Source organism: Homo sapiens, chromosome 9 (genome assembly GCF_000001405.40).
Source record: "Homo sapiens chromosome 9, GRCh38.p14 Primary Assembly".
Lineage (NCBI taxonomy): Eukaryota > Metazoa > Chordata > Mammalia > Primates > Hominidae > Homo > Homo sapiens.
Genome location: NC_000009.12, coordinates 60,914,032 through 60,941,824, shown reverse-complemented (window position 1 = coordinate 60,941,824; position 27,793 = coordinate 60,914,032). Strand labels below are relative to the sequence as shown.

The window sequence follows — 27,793 nt, the reverse complement described above, 5'->3', positions numbered from 1 at the left end:
ATTAAAAGTGCTACTCCAGTAAACACACAAGTGATGAGAAAGTGAAACGGCCTTATTGCTGATATGGAGAAAGTTTGAGTGCTCTGGACAGAAAATCAAACCAGCCACAACATTCCCTTAAACCAAAGCCTAATCCAGAGGAAGGCCCTAACTCTCTTCAGTTCTATGAAGGCTGAGAGAGGTGAGGAAGCTGAAGAAGAAAAGTTGGAAGGTAGTAGAGGTTGGTTCGTGAGGTTTAAGGAAAGAAGCCATCTCCGTAAATTAGCTTTTAAAACTTTTTTAAGCAGGCAATCTCTGACTTTGCTTCAGTAACATTTCCTTCTCCTGCTCTTTCTCATTTTCCCATTGCTCATGCTTATACCTGCCCATCTTTCTCTAGTATTAAAGTTTGGATAAATATTTGATCTTTGAATACTATTTTATATTGTTATATGCCTCTGATTTTATCCTCTGGACAAACTTGAGAGACAGTGCAAAAATTTCTTTATATCTTTATAATATAAAGAATTATGGCAAATTTTAAAAGAAGTACCAGCTTTATTGAGGTATAATTTACGTATAATAAACTGCACCCTCTCCACCCCCTCCCCTCACTGTCTACCAAAAAATGTCTGATGATATCCTGGCATTCTGACCCTGCCTGGAAAACACCATAGAGAAAGACAGCAATGTGCTTCCTCGCTCTGGAGTTCTATTGGATTTTAATGGCCATAGATGTATTATGAGCCACACAAACCAGCACTAAAGTAGAGAATTTTTTCCAGAAAAGGTGTGCTAAAAAAGCATGTAAATGAAAGCTTTTATTTGTTTTATTTTCAGCAACCAAGACATAAAATTATTAGGTAGGCCATGATACACAAACACTAACCACTGTACCATCCTTTGATGTTCATTGCAATGGATTCAATGTTTGTGCCCCCCACACAAATTCATATGTTGAAATCCTAGCCCCCAAAGTGATGAGATTAGAAGGGAGGATTGCTGAGAAGTGATTCAGTCATGATGGGCCCTCGGAAATGGGATTAGTGCTCTTATCAAAGAGACTAGGAGCACTGGCTTGCCCCTATCACCACATGAGGACACAGCAAGAAAGCACCCATCTATGAACCACAAAGCAGGCCTTCACCAGACACTGAATCTGCCAATGCCGTGATCTTGGACTTCCCAGCCTCCAGAACGATAAGAAACACATTTCTGTGGTTTATAAGTCACCCGGTCTATGGTATTTTGTTGTAGCATCCCAAATGGACGAAGACATAGTTCACTGTCAGTTCAATTGGCCATGAAGGATTATGGGGCCTGTGTGTCCCTGGCACTGTGATAGGAACTGGGGAGAACACAGAGGGAAATTAATAATACTTCAGCCTGTATTTTAATAACTTAGAGTTTAGTAGAAATAAACTGAAAGGCATAGCAGGGTGAAAAAAAAAAGTGTAAGTAATGTACTAATATTTGTTGAGCCCCACCATATGCTAGACTCTATTGTCTTACTTATACCTCTCAGCAAACCTATAAGTTAGGTCCTATTAGCTGATTTATAGATGGCAAAATAGGCTCAGTGAGGTCAAGTAACTTGCCCTATGTTATAGAGTTATCAGTGGGAAAGTTGAAAGTGGTCAAGGGCTATTTATAGTCAGGAGAAATTAAGTGAGTTTAGAGTCATTCCTTTTCTGTAGCATTACATTAGTCCTGAAATAAAGCAAAATGTATCAAATTCATATACCATATATAAATATATATTTTATTTTATTATTATTATTTTAAGACAGAGTTTCAGTCTTGTTGCCCAGGCTGGAGTGCAATGGTATGATCTTGGCTCACTGCAACCTCCGCCTCCTGGGTTCAAGTGATTCTCCTGCCTCAGCTTCCTGAGTAGCTGGGATTATAGGCATGGACCAACACATCCGGCTAATTTTGTATTTTTAGTAGAGACATGTTGGTCAGGCTGGTCTCGAACTCCTGACCTCAGGTGATTCACCTGCCTCGGCCTCCCAAAGTACTGGGATTACAGGCATGAGCCACTGCGCCTGGTCCTGTATTTTAGATAAGAAAGATGCTTTATCTGTCTCCCATTGGAATACACTTTTGTTGTTCGTTTTTTTTTAACTTAATTAAACTTGAAAGCCAACTTTTGTCAAAACAGAAGAAAATAAAGCAATTTTTAAAAAAATCCAGTGTTTAAAATACTTGTCATTTATAATATATGCATATAACAGAAAAGTAGAAAATAATTCTGCATTTTAAAAGCTTAGCTTCTACATGGCAAGTGTGGGACATAAAGTTGATACTTGACCATTAACTGGATATATTCTAGATTTTCACATTTAATGATAATGGATGTGTGCGTCTCATGGTCAAACTAAAATGATTTATTTTTTACAAATTATCTTTATCATTAGCAAACCAGTCTTACTTTTATTAGTCAATTATAAGTCCACAGAGATATAGGAGCTCAATTTGTTACAGGGAACTTGAGCATTCCATGGATTATCTGAGCTGAATTTGAAGAATGTACTGTGGAGATCTTCTATGTGATATATATAAAGGACGTAGGTCAACTACTGGTTATTATTTAGAAAATACTTTAGGGAAAAAAATTATCTTCTGGGGCCAATAATTGAGTTCTATTAAACTACAGAGGTAGATAATTTTGAAATGAGAAATCAAAATATATTTTGATTTTATATTACTCATATTTTCATTTTATTCATAAAGTTTTTTGGAAAAAGACAACAGAAATTGTACTTTGTTGAGAAGACTCCTAGAGCCAAATAGTCACAGACTCAGAATACACAGAGACAAGCAAAGATGGTTCCAGCAAGCTCTAAGGACACAGACATGTGAAAGAGGCGCTGAAGACACACGAGGACAGATGAATGGTAGATGTCATCCTGATATGGCTGGGCTTCTGGACTCACTGCCTCCTCCTTCTAGAACCCAGCACCTCCAAGGCTGGGAGAAGAGAAGTTTGGGGTCTATGGGAAATGACCTCTGGAAGTGGCTGTGACTGTTTCCAAAGACAAATACAATCTAGATTCTCGAAACAATGCAAATGAACAAAAAATGTGAGTTTAGCAGTTAGTGAAACATTAAGATGAGATACAGGAGTAAACACATTTTTTTCCATAAAAGTAGTGGATGTTAAATAATGAAATACAGTGGTAAAACAATTACAGCCTGGAGGCTTTAAGATGTAAATCAAAAATGGAGACCAGTGGTGTTAATATCATATGAGAGGATTAAATATGAGCTGCTGGTCCAACTGTGTTCTGCAGGAATTCAGGCAGATGGATGAGAGACAGGCTATGAGTAAAGCATTACCACAGCTGGGGGTGCGGTGTATGGAAGCTCATCCTAGCTAGCACTTGGAGAAGAACTCACACATTGCAAACATATCCGGTTAAAAACTGGCATTTGCTGCAACTAAAAAAGGCAAGTGATGGTCTAGGTGAACTGCCTTTTCTTTCTCTCCTTCCAAAGGACAAAATTAATTTTTTTTTTTTTTTGAGACGGAGTCTTGCTCTGTCACCCAGACTGGAGTGTAGTGGTGTGATCTCGGCTCACTGCAAGCTCTGCCTCCCAGGTTCACACCATTCTCCTGCCTCAGCCTCCCAAGTAGCTGGGACTACAGGTGCCCACCACCACGCCTGGCTAATTTTTAGTATTTTTTAGTAGAGACGGGGTTTCACCATGTTAGCCAGGATGGTCTCAATCTCCTGACTTCGTGATGTGCCCGCCTCGGCCTCCCAAAGTGCTGGGATTACAGGTGTGAGCCCCCGCACCCGGCCCCACAAAATTAAATTCTTAATTAAGGAAACTGTTTCTTTTACATCTATTTTTTCATCCGAAACTCAAATGCCAAATATTTAGCTATTATACATGTATTCATTTTCTTAGAATACACTCTATCCAGCTTGACATTTCTTTTAAATTTTCCCATTACATAATTAGATTCTTGATCCTCATTTATGTGATGTTTCCATCATGTGCTGGGTTTTATGCTCCAAATACATGTCCTTTCATACTTTAATGGACACAAATGTGCTTTATAAATATTTTGAAATCCATTTTAAGGTAATTTATTGAGTGAAAATTCTGTGCTCGGTATTTTATTGGGGTCAGTGGTGGGGTAGGAGAAGGAAAGGACATGGCTTTTGCCCTCTAAGGAAGTTGCAGGGAAACTGTCTCTGATTTCATTATCAAAGCGAGGCCCCTTTCTATTTCTCCATTTCAATACCTTTTCTACTGACTTCAGATCTATCAGATGTTATAATTATTTCCCACTTGTGTTTGTGTAACTGTGTTCTGACTATCCACACATTAGGTGTGGGCTCTGTGAAAGCAGGGACCATATTGATCCTGTTCAGTGTCATACCATATCCCTAGCATAGAACTAGTACAGGCATAACAAAGATCTGTGAAAAAGTAAATGCATGCATAACTCAGTTGATCAATTAATGTACATCACTTGGCAGAAGAATAAAAGGATCACGAGAGCAGATGAAAGAAGACTTTATATTTTGCAGAAGAAAATTTTCTGTGTCTTCAAATGATCACAAATATAATTAATAAAGTTGATGAGGCTTTCTTCAAAATGGTGCTTGTAGAAAAAGTGAGAGAAAGGCAAAACAAGAGAAATAATATGGATATTTAGCATTCTGGATGTTTGCTAAGTGACAATTTAATCACAAGAATACACTTCACAGGCCGGGAGCGGTGGCTCACACCTGTAATCCCAGCACTTTGGGAAGCTGAGGCAGGCGATCACGAGGTCAGGAGATCAAGACCATCCTGGCTAACATGGTGAAACCCCATCTCTACTAAAAATACAAAAACAAAATTAGCTGGGCGTGATGGTGGGCGCCTGTAGTCCCAGTTACTCAGGAGGCTGAGGCAGGAGAATGGCGTGAACCTGGGAGCTTGCAGTGAGCTGAGATCGCGCCACTGCACTCCAGCCTGGGCGACAGAGCGAGACTCCGTCTCAAAAAAAAAAAAAAAAAGAGTACATTTCACTCCATTGTCGAGAGAGAGAGAGATATATATAAAATACATATTAAATTATGTGTGTGTATATATATATCTTTTAAGACCAATTTTATTGAGATATAATTTATAGACAGTTAAAGTCACTCATGTTGTGTATAATACGATTAGAATTTTGACAAATGTGTACATACAGTTGTATAATTGGTGCCACCATCAAGATATAAAATATTTCCATTACCCATAAAAAGTTTCCTCAGTCCCTTTTGTGGCCAATGAATCCCCACCTTCCTGCAACCAATGGTTTTCTTTCAGAGACTATAGTTTTTTGTTTTCAAACTTTCTGTGAATAGAATATTACACTGTGTATTTGATAATTGTTTTCTTTCAATCAGCATGGTGTTTTTAAATTCATATATGTTATGTATATTACTACTTCATCCTCTATTTTTGCTTAGTAGTATTCCTTTTCTAGCTGGAAAGTAGTATCAAGATACTAAAATATATTTGTTCATCACTTGTTGATAGGCAACTATAAATAAATTTATTGCCATAAGCATGTGTATACAAGCTTTCTGTGAGCATATGTTTTCATTTTTCCTGTATAAATTTCTACAAGTGAGATTTTGGGGTCATATGGTAAATCAGTACCAAAGTATTTTCCAAAGTAATGTATTATTCTTCATTTTCATCAGCAATATGTGGGAGTTCTAGTTGTTCTACATCTTTACCAATATTTGGAATCATCAATCTTCTTAATTTTAGTCATTCTTTTTTTTTTTTTTTTTTTTGAGATGGAGTCTCGCTTTGTCTCCCAGGCTGGAGTGCAATGGCACAATCTTGGCTTATTGCAACCTCTGCCTCTCAGGTTCAAGTGATTCTTCTGCCTCAGCCTCCCAAGTAGCTGGGATTACAGGTGCCTGCCACCACGCCTGGCTAATTTTTTTATTTTTAGTAGAGACAGGGTTTCACCATATTGGCCAGGCTGGTCTTGAACTCCTGACCTCATGATCCGCCCTCCTTGGCCTTCCAAAGTGCTGGGATTACAGGCATGAGCCACCGCGCCCGGCCTTGATGACGTCTCTCTTTCACTTTTGTTCCTGACAGTCCGGACTGCACAATTTCGGATGTGGGAGACTGGGTGATTTCTTTGATCTTCCCAACCAAATATGACTTACTTAAGGATTTTACCTGTAAAATACATTATTAAAGGTTAAGAGAAGGGTGACAATGGTGGCCTCCTTAGCTTAACTGAATGGTTATGGTTTTTAGTTGTAGTTGCAATCTTATGCTTGTGTGGTTCTTTGATTAGTGTTTGCTTTCTCTATCCTATACTATTAGCTTCATGAGAATAGGAAAATTATTCCTCTTTGAACTCACCATTGTATTCCCAATTCTAGCACAGCGCCTGGGATTTCCTCTGTATGTGTTTTTGAAATGCACCCAATAGATCCACAGACAGATTTTAAAAATATAAACATAGAAACAAATCCTTCTGGTCTTGAAGCTTGAAACTTACATTTGTTTTCTCTGAGTTTCTTCCTCAGGAAATGGACTCTCAGCTCTCTCAAAAAGTATCAAAGAAGTGAAATTCATCAGACCACTGTGTCGAGACAATGAGATGCCAGATGCCAGATTCCTTATTTGTCATGATTGCTTCCTTAGCCCTCCCTAGTTCCTGTTTTCCTGCTCATAGTTACATTTCTTCCTTGCTATATAATCCCCTAATTTCGGCTGGTTGAGGAGATGGAATTGAGACTGATATCCCATATCCTTAGCTGTAGCATGCAATTAAAGCCTTCTTCCTTGGCAATATTCATTGTCTCAGTGATTGGCTTTCTGTGTGCAAGTAACAGAACCTAGATTGAACTCCTGGTATTTCAGTAACATTTTGTGTGTAAGAAAGAGGCTGGAGGAAGGAGAGTAGGGGAAATAGGAAGAGTGTCTTAATATTTTTGTTGCTATAACAGAATACCACAGACTGAGTGATTTATAAAGAAAATAAATGTATTTAGCTCTGAGGCCTAGGAATGCCAAGAGCATGATGCTGGCCTCTGGAGAAGGCCTTCTTGCTGCCTAACAACATGGCAGGGGGCATCACATAGTGAGAGAGCAAGAGCAAAAGGGCTTATGATAAGGAACCCACTACTATGCTAGTGACATTAATCCATTCATGAGGGCAGGACTGACATAAATCTATTCATGAGGGAAGAGGGATTAAGTTTCCAATCTACGAACTTTTGGAGGATACATTCAAACCATAGCAGAAAGACAGACAGAGATAGATATGGAAAGAGGGAACAAGCACACATCACACATACAAAAACTGGACAATATTTTTGTAAATGAAATGCCTAGAGCCTCTCTCGTATATTGTATTTGTTGACATTTTCTCAATTTAAACTTATCACTCCATAATTTCTCTTTTTCTTCCCCAAAATGATGTACATGTTTCTTCCTTATAACCATAAAACACAGTAATTGTTTCCTGGAAAATTTTAAATGTCTCACTACAATTCAAGTATCATACTTACTATATGTTTTTTATCTTCTGTGTATTTTGAAAATGTAAGAGCATTATTGTCTTATACAAAATAGGTGCTAGCAGAGTGAAGAGACAACCAAAAATAACTCAATAAGAAATGGACAAATGATCCAAATAGACATTTTTCAAAAGAAGACATACAGGCCAACAGGCATATAAAAAATGCTCAATATTACTAATCATTAGAGAAAGGCAAATTAAAAACACTTTGAGATATCACCCCATACGTGTTAGGATGGTTATTATAAAATGACAAAATATAACAAGTGTTGGAGAAGACTTGAAGGAAAGGCATCATGGAAAATAGCATGGAGGTTCCTTCAAAAATTAAAAATGAACTACCATATGAACCAGCAATCCCACTACTGGGTATATATCCAAAGGAAATGAAATCCGTATGTCGAAGAGATATCTGCAACACCATATACATTAAATCTTATTTATATATTAGCCCAAGATGTGGAAACAATGTAAGTGTCCATCAATGGATGAATGAATTTTAAAAAGTAGTATATATACACAATGAAATACTATTCAGCCATAAAAAATAATGAAATCTTGTTATTTGTGACAACGTGGATGAACCTGGAGGACATTATGTTAAATGAAACAAGCCAGGCACAGAAAGACCATATGATTTCACTTTTATGTCGAATCTGAAAAAGCTAAACTCATAGAAGTAGAGAGTAGACTGGTGGTTACCAGGAGCTGGACTTGGGGTGGGGAGTGGGGATGTTTATCAAAGGATTCAAAATTTCATTTAAGAGAGGGGAAATATTCAAGAAGAGATCTACTGCACAACATGGTCACTATAGTTAATAACAACATATTGTATTTTTGAAAAAAAATGCAAAGAAACAAAGTAAGTATTAAATAAAAACTGGTTCTTTGAAGCTTTGGCACTGTAATATATGAAGGCCAGAAGCCACATTTATATAGTTCCGTTTCTTGAGCATCCAAGACAATGGATGAGATGACAGTGTTGAGGAAGACAGGTCACTCACTGCGAACACTAGATTCAGCTTCTCCCCCTGCTGTTTGACTCATTCTGCAGAAGGTGAGAATTTATCTGAAGGAGTTTACATATTTTTATGTGACAATGTATTCCTGAGAAGATACCAAATTCTTTCTTCTACATCAAAAATACAGCATGAAACTGACAAGAGAGCACATAAATGATGATTTTTTTTTAAGTTTCCAGGAATATCACATGTATCATATTACTGAAAAGAAAAAGAGCATTTTATGCCATGAAAAACTTTGGATATCCTTGAATAATGTTGACTAAAAACAGTGAGTTTATTTAGTATTCATTGTGTCTATATTTGGAGTGTATATTTTTAGTATTTGTCATCTTGCTTATCAAACTCCTGAATCTCACTTAAAAAGTATTTTCCAAAGTTTTTGAAATTTCTCCACAAAAGAAGAAAAAACAAAAAAGCAAGTATTGGAAGTCAAATAGGTTTGAGAAATATTATGACACATGTCCTTCTTGCACATCATAAAGCCTCTAACACTTTTCATAGTAAACCAATAAATGAAACTCAGACTTCTTGCTTTGCTTAATCAAAAAATTAAAGTTTTCCAAACTTCTTTGACTACAGAATCTTTTGACAACACAATATTGATCATTGCACACTTTGAGAGATATTACTCTACAAAAGTCACTGCATAGCACCACTAAAATATGGTGACCGATAAAATGGGCAAAGGTCATTCAGTGAAAGTTTCAAAGCAAAGAGAATGAATGAATATATATATATATATATATATATATATATATATATATATATATGGATGTTTACTTTTTGGATTACAGTTTTCAGATTATGTTTGTTTTAAATAAGCCAGTCTGCTTTCATAATAATTATACTTTTAAGCCATTTTCTGATGAGACATTTGTCATCATGAGAACAATGTAGTAAAAGTTTGTTACACTGGGGATTAAGATATTAGAGTTTCCATTCAAGATTCCCTAATACTGGAAGAGGTTCACTTAAATTCCATGATTCTATGAGAGGAGTCAAATCTGAGGTGCAGGCTCTGCACCTTCCCAGGCCTGCAGGGGCTTTGCACCTTCTTGCGGAACAGTTGCCAGCTGTTATCGCTTCACTCTTAGGTCACTGCCTTCAGTCAAGTCTTTTTTTTTTTTTTTTTTTTTTTAGACAGAATTTCGCTCTTGTTGTCCAGGCTTGAGTGCAATGGTGCAGTCTCGGCTCACTGCAACCTTCGCTTCCCGGGTTCAAGCAATTCTCCCATCTCAGCCACCTGAGTAGCTGGGATTACAGGCACCCGCCACCAAGCCCAGCTCATTCTTTTTGTATTTTTAGTAGAGATGGGGTTTCATCATGTTGGCCAGGCTGGTCTTGAACTCCTGACCTTGGGTTATGCACCCACCTTGGCCTCCTAAAGTGTAGGGATTACAGGCGTGAGCCACCATGCCCGGCCCCAAGTCAAGTCTTTTTCACAGCCTTGGTTCACCATAAAACTAAGGTGGACAATTGTCATGGACAGAATTGTGTTGCCTCAAATTTATGTTGAAGTCCTCACCTCTAGTACCTCAGAATGGGGCTGTATTTGGAAAGAGGACCTATAAAGAGGTAATTGAGGTAAAATTAGGTTATATGGGTGGGCCCTAATCAGTAAGACTGATTTCCTTGTAAGACAAGGAGATGTGGACAGAGACCACACACAGACCACAGGACAATCATGTGAGGACACAGTAAGAAGGTGGCCATTGGCAAGGGAAAAGAGAGAGGCCTCAGAAGAGACCAAATGTGCTGATTCCTTGACCTTGGACTTCCAGCCTCCAAAACTGTGAGAAAAGAAATTTTTTATGGCTGCATAGTATTCCATGGTGTATATGTGCCACATTTTCTTAAAAATGATGAGTTCATGTCCTTTGTAGGGACATGGATGAAATTGGAAATCATCATTCTCAGTAAACTATCACAAGAACAAAAAACCAAACACCGCATATTCTCACTCATAGGTGGGAATTGAACAATGAGAACACATGGACACAGGAAGGGGAACATCACACTCTGGGGACTGTTGTGGGGTGGGGGGAGGGGGGAGGGATAGCATTGGGAGATATACCTAATGCTAGATGACGAGTTAGTGGGTGCAGCATACCAGCATGGCACAGGTATACATATGTAACTAACCTGCACATTGTGCACATGTACCCTAAAACTTAAAGTATAATAATAATAAATAAACAAAGAAAGAAAGAAAGAAAAAAAGAAATTTATGTTACTTAAGCCACTCAGTCTGTGGTATTTTGTTATGGCAGCCCTAGTAAACTAATACAAATATTTTTAGGGACAACAAACCATGGACTTTGTTATTCTAGTAAGATGACTTTAGCACTATTACCTACTTCTACCTTGAAGTGGTAAAAAAAGGCAGTGAGAAGCATTTCCATGGAGTGTATAAATCGTGTCCCGTGAAACAGAATTAGCTAATAAGGTTAACACCTGTCAGCTGTATATGATGCTGCATCTCCAATCTCCATCCGGACAGCAAAGGGGAAGGCATGGACAGGAGACCTGCCTTCAGAAGAGCAGCTGACAAAGGGGCCCACAGCCTGGGGACGGTGACGGCAGTAGCCCCCCGAGGCCTGGGATCCCACAGCACAATTGTGAAGGGAAAGTCTTACTTGCTGGGCCCAGATGTGTAATTTTCTCCCACCACTGTTTTTTTTTGTGAAAAATTCTTAAATAAACATGGTGTTGGACATTTTTCTGACTAGGAAGTTAGGATATTTGCTTTTCTAGCATCTTTATTAGATGACTTTTTATGTTTGCAAAGTCACTCAGAAAAAACTTCATCCTCCCAACACCTCCCTGGACCACAGTCCCCACAAATGACATTGAACTCACAACATAAAGGAACTCACCACTAGGTAAATAGGTGCTTGACTGTGATTTAACACCTGAATTACTAAAATTGATTGCAATAATTATCCAAAGAAAAACAGCCAAGTGCAGCAGTAACGACAGCCTCTGAACTCTCTCCACATCTTCTTGTGGACAGCCTTTGAGCTCTCTCCATGTCTTCTCCGGGACAGCCTCTGAACTCTCTGCACGTCTTCTTGCAGACAGCCTCTGAGCTGTTTCCATGTCTTCTCCGGGACAGTCTCTGAGTTTCTGAGCTCTTTCCACGTCTTCTCCGGGACAGCCTCTGAACTCTCTCCACGTCTTCTCTGGGACATCCTCTGAGCTCTCCACGTCTTCTCTGGGACAGCCTCTGAGCTCTTTCCACGTCTTCTCTGGGACAGCCTCTGAGCTGTCTCCACGTCTCCTCCAGGACAGCCTCTGAGCTCCCTCCACATCTTCTCTGGGTCTCCTGTGGAGTCTGATCACCTTTCAGTTAAGGCATCTCCTGTGAGCAGCCCAGTTGGCTACTCTGAGTTCTGGGGGTAGCTGTCCTTGGTTTCTCTGAATTGCCCAGAAACCAACCTTTCTGTTGCCCATCGTAGTGCCTACGTGGCTTAGCTGGAGCCCTACCCTGCTTTTGTTGCCCAACAAATGCCTATGTGACAGAGCTAAATTCCCATTCAGCTTTAACTGCTTAGTTTTAGAAAACAGGATGTCTGGGGTCAGAAGTTCCTTCTTAGGACTAAACTGGCTGAAGCTGGCAAAATCCGCAATGGCAGCTTGACCTCTGAAAAACCTCTAGCTTCATTATGATCCAATTTCCATGCTAAATGACACTCCCACTGGCACCTTGACAGTTGACAATCACCATGACAATGGCCAGAAGAGACCAAAAACAGGCAGAAAAGAGGTGGCTCTTTGATTCCAAAAAAACCTACCTCCCTTCCCAAGAAAAGCTATGAATATTTCTCCCTTTCCTCTGTATACCCAGCCCCTTCATTAAGAATCCTCAGTTCTCAGGCTCTGAGAAGTTGATTTGCAGGCTATGCTCCCACTTCTGCAATTCCATGGCCATTGAAAAAAGCCCACACTGTTTGATACTCACTCTCGGTTTGGTGTATTGGCTTCACACCAAACAAGAAAGAGCTCCTTTAGGGGTAGTCAGGACCCTGATTATATTCCCACATAGAAACTGTTCCCACTCACTACTGGCACAGCAGAACACATAAACTGTCAGATGGCTCCATTTCAATGATTTGACTTGTAATTCTCAATTGTTTCTGTTCCTAAGATTTTAGGACTTTCTATCAACTCATAAAAAAAATCTTTAAAAAGGTAAGGCAACCTTCAAATCTAAGATGCTCAGCTTTAAACTAGTAAGTTCTTAAGGATGTTTTTTTTCCTTCAAGGAAACTATTCTCCTCTTTGCTGAGCAATAATACAGGTTTTAATATTAAATAAGTACACAAAGTAAAAGAAACAGACAAAAATGTCTTCATAGCAAGGCTGTTAACAGATTTCTTTCTTTTTTTTTTATTTTTGAGATGGGGTCTCACTCTGTTGCCCAGGCGGGAGTGCAGTGGCACAATCTCAGCTCACTGCAACCTCTGCCTCCTCAGTTCAAGTGATTCTCCTGCCTCAGCCTCCCAAGTTGCTGGGATCACAGGTGCCTGCCATCACGCCCGGCTAATTTTTTTGTATTTTTAGTAGAGACGGGGTTTTGCCATGTTGGCCAGGCTGGTCTCAAACTGCTGACCTCAGGTGATCCGCCCACCTTGGCCTCCCAAAGTGCTGGGATTACAGGCATGAGCCACCGTGCCTGGCCAGATTTCTAATATACGTAAAGAAAAAAGAAAAATTTTCAAATATTTGTTTAGATAAGTACTGATATTTAAAAAAACAACCAAGCCTAAATCCCTAGATTTACAATTTTTAAAAAATAAGAAAAGCAATGTAATTCACAGAATAAAATCTTTTGGAGTAAAGTAATATAACTCTAACAAATTGGTAAATCTAGGCAAGAAATGACTTGCCCAAGTAACAGACCTAGTAGGTGGAGAGTTCATCTGACTCCAGAAACCACACTCTACAAAATAAACTTATTGACGTGAAGAATGTATATAATCTGTAACTGGTGTGAAACTGTGGCAGAAATACAAAGAGCCGTGGTCTTGCTCATGATGTTCAAAGGCAATATTTGAACTGAGGGATGGCTGTGTGAATTGAAGTGGTCACTGGAGAAACGTGTTTGAGATTGTGAACCATGGGGAACAGGGGGTGGTAATTCTGGATTTTCGGCATAGAGGAGAAAGAAAGAACTGCAAACATCATTACAGTGAAGGAGGGTGAGGCCCTCCGAAAACTGATTGCGTTTCACCAGAAACACTGATCCAGTGGGGGCAGCTGAAGCACGAAAATGATTAGAACCAGAGTGATGTCACCCACTTTTCTTTCTTTCTTTCTTTTTCTTCTTTTTTTTTGAGACAGAGTCTCGCAGTCTCGCTCTGTCTCCCAGGCTGGAGTGCAGTGGCGCGATCTCGGCTCACTGCCAGCTCCGCCTCCTGGGGTCACGTCATTCTCCTGCCTCAGGCTCCCGAGTAGCTGGGACCACAGGCGCCCCCACCATGTCCGGCTAATTTTTTTGTATTTTTAGTAGAGAGGGGGTTTCACCGTGTTAGCCAGGATGGTCTCGATCCCCTGATCTCGTGATCTGCCCGCCTCGACCTCCCAAGGTGCTGAGATTACAGGCGTGAGCCACCGTGCCTGGCCGATGTCACCCACGTTTCTTAGGAAAGACGTTAGCATCCTCTAAATCCTCACCGACTGTGCCTGGCGCAGCATTATTTTGCAGTTTTCTGGGATTTACAGTTGGCATCATTTGCACAGCGGCAGCGTGACGTGGCTGTGGAGAGCACGGAAGCTCTGTCCCCACGGAAGTGGGCTCTTCTGGTTGCAACATGGTGGAGGCCAGCCCGGCCTCAGGTGAGGGAAGATGCCACAGCAAACCTCTGAGCAACCAAGATGACAAGCACCTGCTTGGAAAAGGTGACAAGCCACAAGGCCATAGGCCCAGTTATAAGGATGAATTGTGTTACACGAATGGTTATAAACCTGACCGACCTCAGAAGGTATATGGAGGAGGCAATTATCAAGCCCCTTGATGGTCTGTGGCTGGATGCACCATACTTTGCCAACGGTGTGAGCATGGCAGAGAATGTAGGTGTGTATATAGGGGAAAACCTCCAGAAAGTTTTTTCTGTGGGAGTTCTTTGTAAAATAATAACAATGCAACTGGAATTATATTGCAATCTATAAAGGGAAATCACTCTTAGGGATCAACATTGTAGAAAGACAACTTGTTTTTTGCTTCTTTGCTCAGTGTTAAGAAGTCATCACATCATTGTCACCCTCCCCACATTCTGTTCTGTAGTGCCCGATTTGTTGAAAGCAGTATGAGGCCTGTTTTAAACATAAATCTATTCTAAATCTAAATTTGTAATACATTCTGAATGTCATTTAGACAGTCTTTTGCCTGGAGATTAAAAATTACTTTATTTCTAGCAAAGTGCTCTGACGTAAAATATTTTAACAACAAAGAAGATCTGTGTTTGTTGTTTTCTCCATTATCTAATTATTGATATCCATTTCATCTGGGCACATATAAATGGTAAAAATATTTACAAGCTTTGAATTAGGTGAATCTAATTAAAAATAAAATATAGATGTTAATAGAGCCTGGAAATATTGTCAATATCTTTTTAATAGATTGAGCCCCGTTGATTATTTCTTCTGGGGTAAAGGCTCAAATTTATTCTGTGAAATTAGACACTCAAATCATCTGAGGCAATATATGGCAGATGAATATACACTGATTGATGGAAATGTTGCTTTAATGCACATTGTTCATTGCAATTTTGCGTAGATTACTGAACTATGAATTACTATTGAGGAACAGCACATTCAACGTGTCATAGCAATCAACTATTTAGTATGGACATTTTCTATGTTTCTAGATTTTCTGGCCACTCTGAGCAAATTTAAATCAAATGACTGAAGTATAATCACTTATTTTAACTCTGTTAAAACAGTCAACTTGAAAAGTATATTTTTCTGTATGAATTTTTTTTTCTAATTGACTCTATTTTGTTCTGATAACTAAACTTATTTAAGTTGCGCTGTTGAAAAAAACTATAGGCCAAGCGCGGTGGCCCATGCCTGTAATCCCAGCACTTTGGGAGGCCGAGGAGGGTGGATCACGTGGTCAAGAGATCCAGACCATCCGGGCTAACACAGTGAAACCCTCTCTCTACTAAAAAAAAAAATACAAAAAAATTAGCCAGTCATTGGTTGCTGGCGCCTGTAGTCCCAGCTATTCAGGAGGCTGAGGCAGGAGAACGGTGTGAACCCAGGAGGCTGAGCTTGCAGTGAGCCAAGATCACGCCACTGCACTCCAGCCTGGGTGACAGAGCAAGACTCTGTCTCAAAAAAAAAAAAAAAAACAACAAAAACAAAACTATATATATATGTATATGTATAATCTGAAGATCCATGTCGATTCCATTATTTTACGATGCAGTGACATTATAAGGAAGTGGAAAAATTAAGTTAAAATTTTTTAATTATGATGAATATAGAAAGGGGATTTCTTGTTGAAACAAATAGGCTAAAAGAGCCTTGATGTCAGCTATGCCTCTCTTAGAGAAAAGACTGTGACCCTGTCATCCCGTTGGATAATCTAGTGATATGCTTTAACAGCTATTGTTAAAATAGATTTTACCAAGGCAAGGACAACAGTTTGCTTATGAGCAATGAGAAGTAAGTAGTCTTACCAGAGTGCACCCTTTGGAAAGTGCTGCGTATATAATTAGTGAGGCCATTCATAATTCATTTTTATTGTACAAATGCTGATTAAATGTATACCTTCTTCCACTCAAATGTTAACGTGTCCCTTCCTCAATACATTTTATTAGGCTATGTATATATCTCAAGCATAGATTAATTTGTTTTGTAAGATTTCAAAACATTCCTTTTTTAGCCCTGTAATGAATATAAAATGGATCCCTACTGCCCATCTTAGAGAATGCGTGTTTCATAGAACTGTTTAAAAAATAAATCCTTTTAAATTGCCCATCTGCTTAAGCTATGTTTGTGGAACATTAGGACTAAGTCATGTCTGACAAACATGTGTCATACTACTATTTGAGGGCATTACTGCATTTTAAGGAATAAAATAATATTATTAAGAAGTATAATTTTTCCAAGTGATACAATAAGAATATTGCTAGAGATTTGACCTATTTGTGAAAAATCTTTGCATGATTATTAGCTTGCTAAAAATAAAATGAACTCTGCAAACGTGATCCAAGCTGTTCTGTATGAAATTATGTGCTAGTTGCACAGTCCCCTGGGAGACCAGTGTGAGTCCAGATGCCTCTTTGCTGGTTTGTTTCATTTCTGGGGTTCATTTTCTAGAGGTTTTTATCATATTTTCAAAGTACAGAAGTCAGGCATCTCAAATTCAAGTCTTGTCTCCCCCAAACTTTAAAAAATATATGACATTGATGTAATTTGGCTGGATAATAACAAACTGAACAAATAAGATATTTTCTTTCATTGAAGGTTGGTAACATTTTCTTCACTTAAAAATTTTTGGTTGGGCACAGTGGCTCATGCCTATAATCTCAGCACTTTGGGAGGCCGAGGCGGGTGGATCACCTGAGGTCAGGAGTTCGAGTCCAGCTGGCCAACATGGTGAAACCCTGTCTCTACTAAAAATACAAAAATTAGCCGAGCATGGTAGTGCACACCTATAATCCCAGCTACTCAGGAGGCTGAAGCAGGAGAATCTCTTGAACTCCAGAGGCGGAGGTTGCAGTGAGCCAAGATTATCCCACTGGACTCCAGCCTGGGCGACAGAGCAAGACTCCATCTCAAAAAATAATTTAAAAAAATGAATTTTCTAAATTGTGGGTCAGAATTCAAGCTAATGGAAACCTGTGGAAGAAAGAATTTTGCAGGTCTGCCTGTGGAATCCATAATTCTTTTCAGAGGCAGCGCTATTACAAAAAAAAAAAAAAAAGTGTGAGGATGTCCCCAAGCAGAAAACCGCCTTCACTGCAATGCTGACAGTATCTGGGTGTCCCAGGGTTCCTGGGGAGTGCAACTGATATCCCGGCTGTGCTGCTACTGTGCTGAGTGGTTTTATATCCACTGAGAAGGATGTGTCAACAGGTGGCTGCTCAGGCACCTAAAGAATGGATGGATGTGAGGTCTCTGTGAAGCCTCTGGGCCAGATCTCTGAGGAGTATCTGTGAGGGGCATCTCACCTATGGTGAGGACGCTGTGTGAGCGCTGCATGGGAGGCCTCAGTGCCAGGCTCCTGGTGAGAACTCTGAGTGAGGTCTCTGTGGAGCCTCAGTTTGAGGTTTCTGCGTGAGTTCTGTGTGGAAAGTCTCTAAGAAATCCGAGTCAGTTTCTGTACGAGGCCTGTGAGGCCACATGAGGTCTCTGTGGGAGGACTCCATGGGGCAGCAAGAGGGCTCCATTGCCTCTTGTGAGGCCTCTGTATGAGGCCTTTGCAGAAGGTCTGTGTGGGAGGTATCTTCCAGAGGTCTCTGTGGGGTCTCTGTGGGAAGTCCCTGTGTGAAATCTCCGTGCTAGGTCTCTGTGTGAGGGACCATGGACTATATGAAGTCCCTGTGTGAGGACCCTGTGTGAGGACCCTGTGAAAGCCCTACAGAATCTCTGTGTGGAATGTTTGAGGGAATTCTATGTGAGAGGTTTCTGGGCAATGAGTGTGGAGCAACCTGAGGCCTGTGTGAGGAATCTATACAAGGTCTCTGTGGAGAGTGGGAGGTCTCCAGGCAAGGTCTCTGTGTGAGGAGGACTCTGAGAGAGGTCTCTGTGAGGCAGTGGGGGGTGCCGTGTGCCATTTCTGGGGCTGGAGGCCGGAGGTTGCAGTGAGCTGCATGAGTCTCTGCATGAGGTCCCTGTTTTATGACTCTGTGTGAAGTCTCTGAGGTCTTTGTGGGGTCTCTGTGTGAGATCTCCCTGTGAGAACCATGGAAGGTCTCTGACATTTGCGGGAGGTCTCTGTGGGACTGAGTGAAGTCTCTCAGCGTGGCCTCTGTGGGGTTCTCTGGGTGAGGACTCTGGGAATCTCTGTGCTAGGTCTCTGTGGGGCACCATGAGGACTCTGAGAGCTCCGTGGGGTCTCTGTGGAGGCTGCAGTGTGTCTCTCTCTGTGGCAGTGAGAGGTCCCCGTGTGCTCACTCTGTACGAGATATCTCTGTGAGGTTCCTGTGGGAGGTCTCCGTGGGTCTCTCCATTGCTGGCCTCGCTGCATGTCATGGGAGACTGAGCTGCAGAAGGGCTAAGGGGTTGTTGTTTCCTGTGTTCTTGCTGGTCTCTCAGTGTTGCCTGTGGCGCTTCTCCTGGCCTGAGCCATGGGCTCCACGTCCAGCTCCTCCACATCCCAGAACTCGCGTCTTGGTTTCCTGAGGGAACCCAGCAGCAGCCAGGCATGGCCCATCCTCAGTGGTCAGGGTCCCAGCTCTGTGCCACACTCTCCTGAGCTCCCGGAGGACCGGGGCTGCTCTCTGCTCCAGGTCCCAGCTCCTCCTGCTGATCCTGGCTCCGCTGTCACCGCTGGGCCCACCTTGGAGGCTGCTTCAGTTATCCGGGCCCCAGAGAGGACCTGGCCCCAGGAGAAGCCACAGGCTGGGGACTGTGCCCACTGCCCCCTGCACCCCAGTGCCGGCCAGTCCCACATGTTGGGGGCAGGGCCATTTCCATTGTCATCTAGATCAGTGGCACTGCCTGGCACTGGCCTCTCCACCATTGAAATGAGGCCCCCGGAAGTGGGCCTCTTGCACGCCTGTATGTGGCACAAGGCAGAGAAAACTCCCTCTAGAGACCTGGCTCCTCCTGTCCATGATTTGTGGAGACCTCCTGCTTTCCCATATGGACAGGGCCCAGAGAGGAGGAAAGCTGTGCTGAAAGCAGAGGGAGACAGCAGGGATGGCTCCTGTCCTGCCCATACCCTGCCCATTCTGGACAGGTCACTTCCAGCTCCCTTGTATGTTCAAATCCTGCCTGCCTGCATCTTCCCTTGCTGGTCTCTGGAACAAGCAAGGATGTCAGGAGCCAGGGGAGATTTGCTGTGTGACCCCAGCTCAGCTGCTGGGCCCTTGTAAGTCGCCACCTTTCCCCAGGGAGCAGTCCTGGGGCTACGTGTATATTAAAGGTCACCAGACTTCGACTCATGCCTGGGGTTCTCTAGTCCTTGCTTTTCCACCTATTGTCAACACATCCTTTAAAAAATTCAATAGGTAGGCCAGGCACCATGGCTCATGCCTGTAATCCTAGCTCTTTGGGAGGCTGAGGCCGGTAGATCACCTGAGGCGAGGAGTTCGAGGCCAGCCTGGCCAACATAGCAAAACCCCGTCTCTACTAAAAATATAAAAATTAGTCGGGCATGGTGGTGGGTGCCTATCATCTCAGCCACTTGGGAGGCTGAGGCAGAAGAATCACTTGAACCCAGGGGCCGGAGTTTGCAGTGAGCCAAGATTGCACTACTTCCCTCCAGCCTGGGCAAAACAGTGAAACTCTGTCTCAAAAAAAAAAAAAAGTTCAATAGATTATTATGTGCAAGCTTATCGAAGATGTTAAGAAATTCATCTTCCTTATTCACTTTGCCTTCTCACTAATATGGCCCTCCGTGTTGGGGGTAAATGTGGTTTTTCTAGGGGTCTGTGATCTGGGAGCTGGAGCAGAGACAGACCCTGGGGTGTGGCCAGGATGAGACACTAGGCCCCTCTAGGCCTGTCTAAGGGGTTGGAATGTCAGAGTCTCCTGGCTCACGGCACCACTGATGGCTCCCTCACACACGCCACTTTGCCTCCTTTTCAATTCTCTGTCTGCATCCCCTGTAGCTCTACAGAGTCCCACCATCAGAAGCCTCTGCACACACAGGCATACCCTACTCCATTCACCCAGAACTACTTCACTGAAGCTGAGAGACATGTAGGTGAGATAGACAAAGGCCGGTGACCCAGGAGCAGGGTCATTCACTCATCTGGGGCAGGGGAGTTCACGGCCCTCAGCAACCTCCATGAAGGCTGCCCCCCTGACCCCCTAGCCCCCACCTACACATGCACAGAGCTGGAAGGTCTGTCCCCACTGCCACTCCAGAGTGCGAGAAAGGGAGAGGCAGTGGGATGGGGACTCTCTGCTTTGCATGTTGGCTGAGCTAAGAGAGCCCATCTCCATCCCAGCCTTTGTCAGGGAGAGAAGGGGCTTCCCAGGGGCAGACGTTATCTATTCTCCACCAGGATACCCAGGGTCAAGACTTCTCCCACTTCTAAACTCAGGGCCCAGCACTCTCCCACCCAAACTTCCACTATTTTGTGACACATGAAGGTACTCGGCTGTGGCACTTCCTGGAGCCTGCATGGAGATGTTCAGTCCCGTGACATCTCTGCAAACCTTCTCCCTACAGCTGCATGAAGTTTGAGGTAGAGTAAGTAGTGGAAAGATGGGTTGAACCTTATTTCAGAGTGGGACCTTCATAGGTTTTTCTCATCTTGTTTTTAGAATTTTTTGTTGTTTGTGTAAAGACGGTATTACGGAAACATAAGGTTCAGTGAAGGAACTCAGGATGAAGGTGGGCTTACAGCACCACTGTCAACATCCCTCCATGTCCTGTCGCTTCTGGAAACCAAGCCCACACCAAGCATGGCACAAATAAAAGCCATCACCCTCTTATGAATAAAAAACCATATATATTGTGGAATATTAAATGTTCTGCATGTACTAACATGAGAGAAAATATTTTTTCTCTACATAGAGTGAATTTTTTCTTGGGGACTTGTTTTTCTCCAGGGAAGGCTAAAAAAGAATTTGTGACTGACCAAATCAGATACCTTCCCAAAGAAGACAGTGCCTTGGACAGTGGTGATGGTGGCTAGAGGCACCGGATGTCTTCGGCCAGTGCTGAGGGGGACTGACTGGGGATACAGCTTTCTTGGGGTGCAAGATTTGGGGATGTCGCAGGCCCCATTGCTCATTGTTGCACCGCACACTTTTCAAGGGCTGTTGATTTCTGATTTGTCTGTCTCTGTTGGGACAACCCTGGCTCTTGAGAGTGGCTTGTTGACTGCTGGCTGCATAGCTCAGTATTCTGCCGTGTTCTGAGTAGAAGAGGTGCCTGTGGTTGCAGGGAAACCCACAGACTGGGGCTTGAAACTTCTGTTTGTGCTGATTTACCTTCGAGGCATGGCGCGCATGGCAAAGTGACATTTTCTCGTCCAGCATTTGTCCAACTGCCGTCATGAGACCCTGAGCTTCAGCACTGCTGCTGTACACACGTGATCTGTTTTTTACTGTTTTTTGGCTCTCAGCAGTGACTGGTGCTGGCTTGCTTTTTTTCTTTGAAAAAATCCACTGAAAAATTTGCTTGATGTTTTCTCCAAAGGGGCTTACTGAAGGAGGCTGTTTCTTTGATGGCAGTAGCTGGACGCCTTCATCCTGATGGGTGTCTTCTGTTTTCCTGACTGGGGTAAGTTGAGGAGTCCTCAATCCTTCAAGCCTTTCTTCATGTTTTTCTAAGTTGGGTTTCCTAGACTTCTCACTCTTGTGAATAGGGGGAAACATTGGCCTTTGGCTCTTGCATGAGCCTTGACAGTTTGGGTTTCTGGGCTCCTCGTGCACCAGTTTGCTCCTTCTGGCTGCCATGAGGTCATGTAGCTCCTGGGAAGCCCGCATGTTCCCAGTAGGCATGCTCTGGAGATGGCCCTGGGGCACTTGAGAAACCAAATTCTCTGAAGCGTGGGGCACAACAGATGCTTGCCCATCTGGAAGGAGCACAACAGCGGCACAAACTTGAGGCTGGGTCTCTGACTTTGTGGCCATTCCAGGCTCAAATTCATTAACAACCTCCTCCATAAGACACAGCTTTCTTGGATCTTGGGAGACAGACACTCTAGGGTGTAGAGAGCTTTTGCTGGTCCCTGGAGCCTCGAAACCATGCACATCCTCACTTGTGGCTTGGAGGTTTGCCAGCATACAGGTTTCCAAGGGGACTCTGCATTGTGGCACTGCCTCCCTTGTCTCTCCAGCCTTTGAAGATTGGGCTCCTAAGCTCCTGCTCTGCTGGATGCTGCCTGTGAGGCTGTACGTGAGGGGCTTAGATGGCCACCTGCCCTCCTGTCCAGCTGGAGGAGGCTTCAAGGGTTCATGATCATTCCAAGATGGGATTCCTCGCGGTGCCCTCTGGAACTGCTTCCATGCAGGTGAGGAGGCCAGAAGACTCTCTGGCATGTGATCAGATGCTTTGGTCAGCACCTGCTTTCTCAGACTTGCCATTGGTGGCTTTCTAAGGAACATGTCCACCTCAACTTCTGAGCCAGCCCCAGATTCACAGGTGGCTGAGGAGGGACCAGCAAGCTGTGTAAGGGACAAGGATGAAACCTTTTCCAGTTTAAAGCACTGAATGGGCTTGAGGACCCTGAGGGGTAGACCCCACCTGTGTTTGGCCCAAAACCTCACAATATGGGCTCCCAACCCCTGCTGAGTACACGGCTCGAGGAAGGAAAGCACCTGGGCTGTGTTCACACAGGCTTTCCCACTTTTCGGGGCTGCTAGATTGCTGGTTTTCACATGGGTGTTGGACACGGGAAGAGCCTGGTTGACAGCAAGCCAGGATCGACGCACACACACGGGGATCAAGCCCTCGTTGGTCTGGCCCAAGTTCCTGCCCATGTGGGCTTTCAGGATGTTTTCTATATGAGTCCTCTCTGTGCATCTTAATAAATCACTTCCCGAGTCACTCCTCAAGGGCTTCCTCAAGTTCCTTTCCAACTCCTCAGAAGTCACCCCCAGAACCTTCCGTGGGAAGCTTTTCATATCCCTGGATAGATTTTGTGGGGTCTCACCCAGAATTTGCCCCAGATGTGGGCACGGGTCCCTCTCTAGCTGGAACTTCACCTTCTGTGCCTCCTTGCTGCCTTCACCTGTGGACATGGAGGACTGCCAGGGACTGGGTTTGCCCTTGGCCTGACTTGTCCCTGGTGATTCATCCCGAAGCTGCATCAGATCCAGAGACTCTTGGATCCTTCCCAGGTTGCCCCAGTGTTGGATGATCCACTTTTTTATGTGTTGCTCCAGTTGTCTCCGGAGTTCAGGACTGACTGGAAAGTTCTCAGGCAGAATGGATGTCAAACTTTCCTGGGGAAGGTTAGGAGTGGAGACACTAAAGACGTCCTGAGATTTTTGGACCCTAGAGGGTAAAGCCAACCTACCTTCTAGTTGTCTCCTCAACAAAGGCCATTCAGGGTGCTGAGTTTCAGGTAGGGAGAGAGCTTGCACTTTATTCTGCGATGCAGGGCAAGCTACTCCAGTGTTCTGAATCAGGGATGGAAAAGCAGGAGATAGGACTGGGAAAGAAGATTGAAGATGGGCCTGAGCCTCGGCCTGAGCCATAGGTGTGGGCCGGAATTGGGGTGTGGATGAAATAAAGGGTTGGCACTCGGGCCCCAGATGGGACAGGGGCTGGGCCTGGAAAAGCAGTGGGGACATTGTAGTCTCCCTTTGAATTGGGCAGACATTGGACATTTCATTGAACAAGAAAGGAGGAGACTGTAAAGTATAAGACCTGTCAGTTACCCAGGCGTTAGCCACCAGGGACTCGCTGTGCAGAGAGGGGAGGCCCCAGAAAAGCTGGCTATAATTCTTCCAAAAACTTTCCTGCCAGAGCCTAGGATCTGAGAGCTTCTGAGGTCCGGGCAGCTGTTTCGAGTTCTCTCCCATGTTCCAGAAGGGTTTTGGGTTTGTGGTGTCCTGCTCAGCATCCAATGATTTAGCCAAATTCCGCAAAGAATTTAAGTGCTTTTCTGGGGTCATTCGATTTGTAAATGATCCAACATTTTCTTTTTCTTCCCAAATGTTGACCTTGGCTGTTTCTGTGACTTGTATCCCCACGACATTCTGGCCATCAGAGCTGAGCAAAAACAGGCTACCAGCTTCCATCTGACAGGTCTCTGGTGGGTGGCGGGAAAGATGATCTTGCTGGACTGATGAGTTAAAGGCGCACGAGGTTCTGGCAGTCTCCTGCCACCGGGAGGAGGCAGAAACATGACTGTTTGAGCCACCAAGGCCTGAGATGGCTGGGACAGAAGCCACCAAATCCTCATGTGGAGACAAGCTTTGAGGGACGGTGCCCAGTGGAAATGCCACTGAGTCACAGTGAGATGGAGTTATCAGTGTGGAGTCCCGCAGGGGAGGAGCAGTGAAGCCTTTTGGAGGAGGCAGAGAGCAGGCCAGAGGATCAGGGGTGTGTGGTGGGTGAGGGAAAAGTGCAGGTGGCTCGGGTGAGGGGTGTTCTAGGGGAAGGGAAGGTTCTGGTGGCTGGGAGGCACTTAGGGAGGAGACTGAGGTGGTCATTGGGCCTGGTGATGGGGTGGAGGCCAGATCCTGAGGATGCTTGGCTTGAGGATCCGGGGAAGCTAACGGGGAGAGAATGGGAGCAGCATCTTCCATAGGCTCATGAGAGGACTGGGAGGCTCCATCAGGTGCTCTTTCGCCCACCTCACCTGGGGGGTCTGGACCGGAGAGCTGACCAAAGTCACCTTTGTCAAGGTGTGGCCCCAGGAGGCTGCAGGAGACAGGAGGCACGAGCTGCAGCCAGGAGCCGGTGGGGCCGGAGGGCAGAGTGGGTGCTCGGGCCACAGCCCCTCCACCACCCCACACCCTGATTGCCCAATTCTCCTGCTACCCCTCGCCCCAGGGTTTTACTCCCATCCTCTGTCCCCCTGGTCTCCCCATCCCAGGTCAGCTCCAGGCTGCCTGTGGCCCTGGGGTCACGTCCCAGCCCTGGTAGGAAGGATGCAGGGAAGGGGAAGTGCCTCACCTCTGCAGTTGTGAAAGCAGGTCCGAAGTCTCCTCCAGGCCTCTCCGGCACTCTCTACCAGCTGGAAATCAGGAGACTGGGTTAGGGCAGTGAGGGAGGGGCCTGGGTTCTCACAGGAGGCTGAGTGGCTGTTTCTTTAGGGAGGACCATGGGGAATTAGACCCTGGACCCCACCCATCTGTGTCCAAAGCCACATGACCCCGACGTTAATAGCAAGGCATGGAGGACAGGGCTTTTTCATTCACAAAGGGCTTCCACACACGGACCCCCCACCCCCACAGTCCTCACAACTGCCCTGTGGGGAGAAAGGACTGAGGTGGTCTCAAAGAGGAATCAGCCTTAGCAGAGTTGGACAGCTGTTCCCAGGGAGCGGGAGGCCCCCTCACCCCCCTCCGCATCCAGGCAGGCATTGGTCTCCCCAGGACACACACACTGCCCCCTGCTGGGTAACGCCCAGTCCCTGGCCCACCATGGCTTCATTCCCGCATGGAATCTGAGAAGGACCCGGGGTTCTGATTTCCTTCCTAGGAGCCCCCACCTCAGGCTTCTTCAACTGACTTCTTCAGAGTCAGTTCCCTTCGGGACAGATGAGATCAAATTAACCCTAGTGTGCTCTGGCAGAGCCTTACCTCTCAGACTGTGGTTTTTCATCCTGCCTCTGGGCCTCCGCCTCCGCCCTACTGGACACTGGGAGACACGATGACGTACGGAGACAAGATGACGCGGAGAGACAAGATGACAATGGGAGACAAGAAAGGGTGAGAAGCTAGGACCGGCTCTCCCTCTCTGCCCCAGCCCAGCCGCAGCATGCTGCACTCAGGAACCGCATGGCTCTCTCTGTCTTGCTCAGGGAGCTCTGTGTGCTTCCTCCCACTCTTGTTTAAATGGATGATAAACTGCTTTTCTTCTTAGAAAAACAGCAAGAGGGGGCTGGGCGTGGTAGCTCACGCCTATAATCCAAGCACTTTGGGAGGCCAAGGTGGGTTGATCACCTGAGGTCAGGAGTTTGAGACCAGCCTGGCCATGGTGAAACCCCGTGTCTACTAAAAATACAAAAATTAGGCAGGCATGGTGGTGGGCGCCTGTAATCCCCAGCTATTCAGGACTCTAAGACAGGAGAATCGCTTGAACTCAGGAAGCAGAGGTTGCAGTGAGCCGATATCACTCCATTTCACTGCAACCTGCACCACAGAGCGAGACTCCATCTCAAAAAATAAAATAAAATAAAATAAAATAAAATAAAATAAAATAAAATAAAAATAACACACACAAATAAAATAAAAATACACACACACACACACACACACACACACACACACACAGAGGGATTTTCAATATGAGGTCCACCACGGACACCTTCAGTCCCTGTTCCTCTGCTCCAGGAACACCCAAGTTCAGGCCCGCAGGCACTGCTGAGCTATCAGGTAGGATTCTGCTTCCCAGAAGACCAGAGGAGACACCAGGCCCTGGTGGGAGGCCCTCAGGGGCCCAGCACAGGCCCCAGATCACCCCACACAGGGGAGGCTGGGCCCTGAGCCACCTGCACCAGAAAGGGGCTGATGAGCCAGGGCTCAGGGCCTGGTCTCGGACAGAGACCTCCCCAGTCTCATGACTGGTACTGGTGCTGAGTCCACTGGTTTGATTTTGCCTTGATGCCTCCTGTGCTCCCCCACAGATGGACTGAGAGCTTGGGATGGAAATCCCAGTACACTATCTACCCCTACCAACCCCTGGCTGCCCTGCCTCTCCCTGGAAGGATGATGTTCTGGTCTCTTCTGAGACTTCCCATCATAGAAGGCTCTCCACTGGATTTGGAAAAGTGGAACTAATAATAAAAAGAAAGGAGAGAATCAAGCTCTGTGGGTTGGGACTGAGGGTTCCTTACCTTTCTCTTCCCAGGCGATGGTGAGGGTGGGTCATCACAACGGAAGTAAGATAAGTAGGGGAGTAATAGGAAGAAGAACCCCAGGGCAAACACCAAAGTGAGGAAGATATCCAACACCCATGGTGTGGAACTGGGGGCGTTTAGCGATGAGGCACTAAGTAATTTTAAAGGAAAGGGAAGATTCTCCATGTGAATAGGCGCGTTGCTTTCAAGCAACTGAGCTCTGGGCATCCCCGTGGGGACTAGGGACTGGGGCCCAGGCCTGCGTCACAGAGGTGGGGCCTTGATGTCACAAAGGGCTCCTTTGTTGGGGAGGGGCAGTGGGAGGGGGAGGCGCAGAGGGAGGGGGAGGTGCAGCAGGAGGGGGAGAGGGAGGGAGAGGGGCAGGGGAGGGGGAGACTGAGGCACAGCCCCTCCCCACCCCCCAAGCTGGGGATCCCTCCACCATCCCACCTTCTAGATCCCTCCTTCCCACTAAGTTTTGTCAGTGATAGCCAATTTTCTATTCTTTCTCCCTGGAATATAGATATTACCTGGTTCCTTTTATCTGTTGGAGACGGTGGCTTGAGGTTACCTATTTTATAGCCCTTGAA

The 27,793-nt window shown here is 44.6% G+C and overlaps 1 protein-coding gene, 1 long non-coding RNA gene and 1 pseudogene across 3 annotated transcripts; 1 reads left to right on the top strand and 2 right to left on the bottom strand.

Moving 5' to 3' along the window:
- Nucleotides 1-6,097: 6,097 nt before the first annotated feature.
- Nucleotides 6,098-12,043, bottom strand: FAM74A6 (family with sequence similarity 74 member A6). Its single transcript, NR_110999.1, has 3 exons — nt 11,430-12,043; nt 6,503-6,586; nt 6,098-6,174 (listed from the first exon to the last, which is right to left on the bottom strand). It is a non-coding gene; the product is annotated as a family with sequence similarity 74 member A6 (long non-coding RNA).
- On the top strand, nt 14,397-14,731 carry LOC100506103 (6-pyruvoyltetrahydropterin synthase pseudogene; annotated as a pseudogene).
- Nucleotides 21,172-27,453, bottom strand: SPATA31A5 (SPATA31 subfamily A member 5). 2 transcript variants are annotated; one of them, XM_047423839.1, is made up of 5 exons: nt 27,202-27,453; nt 25,945-26,039; nt 25,316-25,376; nt 24,458-25,060; nt 21,172-24,001 (listed from the first exon to the last, which is right to left on the bottom strand). In XM_047423839.1, the coding sequence occupies exons 1-5, from the start codon at nt 27,429-27,431 to the stop codon at nt 21,325-21,327; spliced, it is 3,666 nt and encodes a 1,221-aa protein (XP_047279795.1). In that variant the 5' UTR covers nt 27,432-27,453; the 3' UTR covers nt 21,172-21,324. The 2 variants fall into 2 exon arrangements, with proteins under 2 accessions (XP_047279795.1, NP_001107013.1); NM_001113541.3 differs by having other exon boundaries at nt 21,172-25,060; nt 25,945-26,002; nt 27,201-27,418.
- Nucleotides 27,454-27,793: the final 340 nt, after the last annotated feature.